Below are 6386 nucleotides of genomic sequence, written 5' to 3'. Positions count from 1 at the left end.
ATCCTGTAGCATGCTATTCATTTCTTCTTCTGCATTTATATTTGGACACAATAGTATTCACAGTTTCCAAGTACATGAAGTGTAACCTTTATTAACATATGGGACAGTGGTTTCCTTTCAGGAACAGCTGGGTTCATGGGTGTGACAAAAGTAAAATTAAACTTTAAATTTTATAAGGTTCTGTATTATCTCTGCTTCCTAGAGTATGGTTTCTCTCTCTCAAAGATAAATAAGCAAAAAATACAGTGAAATAAAATAGCCATTTGTATCTCATTTGAGGCTTTTGCCTTGATTTCTTCTCTGTATATTAGTATTGTTATCATTGCTTTATGTATTTGCTTTTTGTTTAGGCATGTTTGATAAACCTTTGGCCATCTTTTCTTTTCTTATTTATATCAGAAACTACAGGATAATTCAATAGTAAAAAATGTATTACTGGCATGGTGTGGTACTCACGCCTGTAATCCTAGCACGTTGGGAGGCCGAGGTGGGAGGATCACTTGAGATCAGGAGTTTGAGACCAGCCTGGGCAATATGGCAAAACCCCATCTCTACTAAAAATACAAAAATTAGCCAGCTGTAGTGCCCGTGATCCCAGCTACTTGGGAGGCTGAGGCACAAGAATCACTTGAATCTGGGAGGGGGAGGTTGCGGTGAGCTGAGATTGCACCACTGCACTCCAGCCTGGGTGACAGAGCAGGACTCTGTCTCAAAAATAGAAAAGAAAGAAAGAAAATGCGTTACTATAATGTGTTATATTAATAGTCCAATACAGTTTTTTTTAAAGCAGCATATTTAAGAAAGCATAAAAAAATTCAGCATCTGCACTTTTAAGTTGTTAGAAAACTAGGAAAGAAAGCACTTTTAATGTTTTCTGATTTTTTTTTTTTTTGAGACAGTCTTGCTCTGTTGCCCAGGCTGGAGTACAGTGGCGCAGTCACTGCTCACTGCAACCTCCGCCTCCCGGGCTCAAGTCATCCTCCTGCCTCAGTCTCCTGAGTAGCTGGGATTACAGACATTAACTAGCTAGTTTTTGTATTTTTTGTACAAAAATGCCTTGTCTGCCTTGGCCTCCCAAAGTGCTGAGATTACAGGCTTGGACCACCGCATCTGGCCTCTGATACTTGTTTTTAATGGTAACCCTATAAAATACCATACATTTGGAGTTGGACGCTGTTTTTTTCAAGTCAGTCTGAGAATTTTTGTCTTTTCATAAGGAATTTAATTTATTTATACTCATTGTTATAACTGATAGCTGATCTTTCTTGTGTTATTTTGTCTCATAACTGATTTTTAAATTCTGCCAGTGAGCACCTTTAAGTTTTTCAAATAAATCAGCATTTCTCTAAACGACAAAACCAAAAGTGACATGGTGCTATGCCCAACTCTCTACCCCCATTTAAGATAAGAAACATAATACATGTCTGCATTTCTTAACAGCCAAGTGTTCCTTGGTCTTTGTTACTATAACACATGCGTTTAAATCCAGATCATTGTTACTTTCATATTTTTCTATTATATGTCATTTCCTTCAATATCTCCATGAATACAGCTGTAAATATTAACAAAATATTAACAAATAAAATCCAACTAATAAACAAAAAGGGTAATATATCCTCACTAAGATAATGCAAGCTTGGCCTACTGTTTTTTAAAAAATCAATCAATGCAATTCACCGTATTAGCAACAACGTAACAACACAAAAAGGAGAAATACCATAAGGATATTTCAAAAGGTGCCAAAAAATGGCAAATGATATGAATGATTGATCGTTTGTTATAGTCCCAATAATACCTGAAATCTGAAGCTCTGCTTTTTTTTTCTTTCTCTGTCATTAGGTTAGTCATTTCTTTTGTTCTGTCTTCAAGTTCACTAAATCTTCACTTTGTCACTTCCATTCTGCTATTGAGTCCATCTGTGAGTTTTAAAAAAAGTTTGATTATTGTATATTGCAGTGCTCCCCAGCTAAAATAACAATACAAAATTAAAATATTGAAACTTACAAGAGCAAAGAGAATGGGAAAAGGAGACAGCAAATATCCACAGATATTTGCAAGGTGGTAAACTTATGATGGAATTTCCACTACCTTGGCAGGGAATTTGGATGCGCTCCTAACCCTGGCAGAGCAGGGCACCATGAGAAGTAAGACAATTATCTAGAGAAACTGAGAAGCCCAGGACTCAGAGGCACCAGGAAAGGCTGTATGGAATGTGGGTGTCTTCAAACAGAGCCTGAGAAATGTGCTCCCATGCAGATCGTTGATGTTGGGAAGTGGTTCTAATGGTGGGAAGGACTGGACAGGATGAAATAGGGGAAGGGTGCATTTTCAAACTGTTCATTGCTTTAGGTAACTGGAGTATAATCCTGCTGGAAAGTCTCTGAGAAGCCATGTATAATTCACCCTAGAATTGTCCCCTGGCAGGACAGAAGAGGATACTATTTATCAAGTATCTCCCAATCCCCTCAGATCAAAGGTCATTACCAGGTGGCACATGTGTCAGAATGACCCAGCAGAAACTGAGCCACGTAAGAGCAAAACCATGCTGCATTCATAAGTATTAAATCGGGTTTAGCCCAAAGCAGCTTGCTTACATATTTTAACTTTGGCCTAAAGGTTTCTTTGTACCTAGTGAACCATAACCTAAATGGAAGAGTAAACAGACTGTAACCTACTCTTGTGCCAATCACCAAGTTTTGGCAACTTAAAGGGGGCCAACTGTTCAAACCGTGTTCAGATAAGGCAAACACGGAGCTGTAACCAATCTGACTGTTTCTGTACCTCACTTCCATTTTCTGTTCGTCACTTTCCTTTCTCTATTTACGTCTTTCCAACACGTGGCTGAGCTGGAGTCTCTGAGCCTCCTCTGGCCCGGAAGGCTGTCCAGTTCACGAATTGTTCTTTTCTCAATTAAAGTCTGGTAAATTTAATTTGGCCAAGATTTAAGATCTCTTCCAGCTTTAAAATTTCCTGACCCCAATTTCATCTTCTCATTCACCATCCAGCCATGCAACATGATGGCCCATTATAGCCAAATTCCAACAAGGTAGAATGTTTGCTCTTTACAATTTCCTTAATTTACCAAAAGCATAAACTTCAGGCCAGGGGAATTTAACTGCATTAATTGTCTATTACATGTGGTCCAAAATAATTACTGTGTTTAAAGTACTAGAAAATAACTTACAAGCCTCAACATAAAATTTCACAAGACAAGGTTGAGAAAAGAAAAGCTGGGCTCGGTGGCTCACGCCTGTAATCTCAGCACTTTGGGAGGCTTAGGCGAGTGGATCATGAGGTTAGGAGATTGAGACCACCCTGGCCAACATGGTGAAACCCCTTCTGTACTAAAAATACAAAAATTAGCTGGGTGTGGTGGTACGTGCCTGTAATCCCCGCTACTCCGGAGACTGAGGCACGAGAATCGCTTGAACACGGGAGGCGAAGGTTGCAGTGAGCGGAGATCCTGCCACTGCACTCCAGCATGGCGACAGAGCAAGACTCTGTCTCAAAACAAAACAAAACAACCTTCTTTCTTTCCTCTTTTTTCAAGAGTCGAGGTCTCACTCTGCCACTCAGGCTGAAGTGCAGTGGTTCGATCACGGCTCACTGCAGCCTCAAACTCCTGGATTCAAGGGGTCCTCCTGCCTCAGCTTCCTGAGTAGCTTGGGACTACAGGTGTGAACCACCATGCCTGGCTAATTCTTTACATTTTGGGGTTATGGGGAACAAGCCCTCCCTATATTGCCCAGGCTGCTGTTGAACACAAGTGATCCTTCCACCTCAGCCTCCTGCTTGTCACTGGGATTATAGGATTGAGCCACAATGCCTGGCTTAGAAAACATCTATTATCTAAGGAATGCGAGTCCTTTTAAATTATCAGGACCAGAGAGCCATTGAAATGAGACAGCAATCACGTCCCCCTTAAGCTATGTATTTATCTCTTGAAACTGTTTGCTGTTGTCACAAGTAGCTATAAATTACCCTAATAATGCCACCCTGGACACTATAAGCCACACCCTATAGTTTAGCAGTGTATAGCCAGTCACTAATCCCTGTTATTTCTGTAAACCAAAGAGAATTCCTTACAACAACTTTGTATGAGCTCACTTCCCATCCCTCTTTTTTGCCTTTAAAAACTTGCTTGTAACAAAGGCTGGGCGGAGCTCACATTCAACGTTTCTTGGGTCTAAATCTTCCGGGCAGCTGTCTACACTTTGGCTCAGGTAAACTCTTTAAATCTTATTTTGTGCCACAGCCTCTTCATTTTATGTCGACAACGTAAGACAAAGACAATGTTAAGCAAAAATATGGATAAATTAAACATGCATAGTAAATAACCTTTTACTAGAGTTTTCTTAATGTAATTTTTCCCGTTTTCTTTTGAAAAATTTTGAACCTATAGACATGTTAAAAGAATAGCACAGTGGGGAAGGGGGAGGGATAGCATTAGGAGATATACCTAATGTTAAATGACGAGTTAATGGGTGCAGCATACCAACATGGCACATGTATACATATGTAACAAACATGCGCGTTGTGCACATGTACCGTAAAACTTAAAGTATAAAAAAAAAAAGAATTGCACAAAGAACTTCCCTCATTATGCTATATTCCTATTTAATTCCTAAATCCTAAGAAAAAGGATCTTTTCCTATATAACCGCTTCACCTTGATCATATTCAAGAAATTGACTTTGATATACTATTATCAAAAATTTACTTACTATTGAAATATTTAAAATAACCACCAATAATCAAGTTTCACCAGTTGTCCCAATAATGCTGTTCATAAACTCTTCTTTTTTAAAAAATCAGGGATTCAGTCTAGGATCAAGTATTGCTTTTAACGTCATATAGCTTTCATCTCCTTTAATTTCAAGCGGTTCTGCTGCCTTTTTTTTTTTTTCTTTTGAGATACAACCTGTGAAGTGTCCAGGCCAATTGTTTTGTAGACTGTCTCGGAATTAAATTCAGATTATTCACTTTGGCCTGCCCAGGTGGTAGTGTGCTCTTCTCATACCAGCAGGTGTGTCAAGTCAGTTTGCCCTAACATCAGGGATGTCATATTTGATCATTTGGTTAAGGTATTATGTGCCAGATATCTTCCTCTCCTCTTTGCAATTAATCAATAACCTGTGATATTTGGATTAGTGTATATCCACTGGGTCCCAGCAATTTTTACCTATAGGTTTAGCATCCATTGTTGATACTTGCTGGAATCAGTCATCAAATTGGTGAAGTAATAGTGATTTTGAAATCAGTTATTCCTTCTATATTTCTTAGCTGAGATTCTTCTGTAAATAAGAGCCTCTCCTTACCTCACCTTTTGTTGAAGAATCCTGGACTCCTGTTTTAATTCAATTTGCTTAATCTATAGCCAACACTATTTTTTTTTTCTTGGGATCCTCAAAGTTTTCCAAATTTGGCCAGCAGAAGCCTCTTCTAGTAGACTCCTGTGTCTTTTTTTTTTTTTTTAATTAAATGGACACAAAGTCTTGCTCTGTCACCCAGGCTAGAGTGCGCTGGCTCACTCACTGCAGCCTCCAACTCCTGGTATCAAGGGATCCTCCCATCCCAGGCTCGCAAGTAGCTAGGACAACAGGTGTGGACCACCATGCCCAGCCAATTTCTAAAAAAATTGTATACAAATACAGTCTCACTATGTTGCCCAGGCTGCTTTTGAACTCTTGGCCTCAAGGGATCCTCCCACTTGGACCACTTAAAGTGTTGGGAATACAGGCGTGAGCCACTGTACTTGGCTTCTGTGCCGCTTCTACCGTCTTTGTGTGTTTTTGAACACTTTCTTATCTTCTGGAACAAAAATGATCCAGGCCTAACTTGTTGTACTTTCCCTGCCCCCAAACTGAAATTAGCCATTTTTCCAGACAGCCCTGGTTCCTTTTAGTGGGAATGCTATTTAGATTAATGAGCTTTAATATATAATACTTTTATGTTGTAAAATATTATGTTTGGATAGTTTGCAGAATTATGATAATTTACTTTAGAATCTATCTCTTCCATCATACATCAATTCTATGTACTTGCTAATTATGGAAATAATTTCTGAGAATTTTCTTTCTTTTTTCTTTTTTTAGACAGCCTCACTCATCACCCAGCCTGGAGTACAGTAGCACCATCCCGGCTCACTGCAACCTCTGCCTCCTGGGTTCAAACAATTCTCTTGCCTCAGCCTCCTGAGTAGCTGGGACTACAGGGCTATGTCATCATGCCTGGCTAATTATAATTTTTTAAAAAAATGTTTATCATTAGACAATGGTTTTCCTTAAAGTAGGAATAGTATTTAGTTTTCCCTACAGCAGTCTGTATAACTTTATAAAATAATGGTTCACAGATTTAAAATGTATTATTCAAAGTGATGAGGCTGGG

The 6386-nt window shown here is 39.0% G+C and overlaps 3 annotated features.

Moving 5' to 3' along the window:
• Nucleotides 1661-2860: an enhancer, noted in NCBI's record as "MED14-independent group 3 enhancer chr18:3384732-3385931 (GRCh37/hg19 assembly coordinates)". NCBI's record gives its function as "activates an origin of replication core promoter dependent on BRD2, BRD4, P300/CBP and CDK7 cofactors, and independent of MED14, by STARR-seq in HCT116 cells {active_cell/tissue: HCT116}" and the evidence as "EXISTENCE:reporter gene assay evidence [ECO:0000049][PMID:35650434]".
• Nucleotides 1661-2930: a biological region, named in NCBI's record as "MED14-independent group 3 enhancer GRCh37_chr18:3384732-3385931".
• Nucleotides 2561-2930: an enhancer, noted in NCBI's record as "active region_13044". NCBI's record gives its function as "activates an Ori minimal core promoter by ATAC-STARR-seq in GM12878 lymphoblastoid cells {active_cell/tissue: GM12878}" and the evidence as "EXISTENCE:reporter gene assay evidence [ECO:0000049][PMID:35858748]".

The sequence above is a fragment of the Homo sapiens genome, chromosome 18 (genome assembly GCF_000001405.40).
Source record: "Homo sapiens chromosome 18, GRCh38.p14 Primary Assembly".
Classification (NCBI taxonomy): Eukaryota; Metazoa; Chordata; class Mammalia; order Primates; family Hominidae; genus Homo; species Homo sapiens.
Note: the sequence above shows the minus strand (reverse complement) of the source record. Positions and strands in the feature narration are given on the sequence as shown.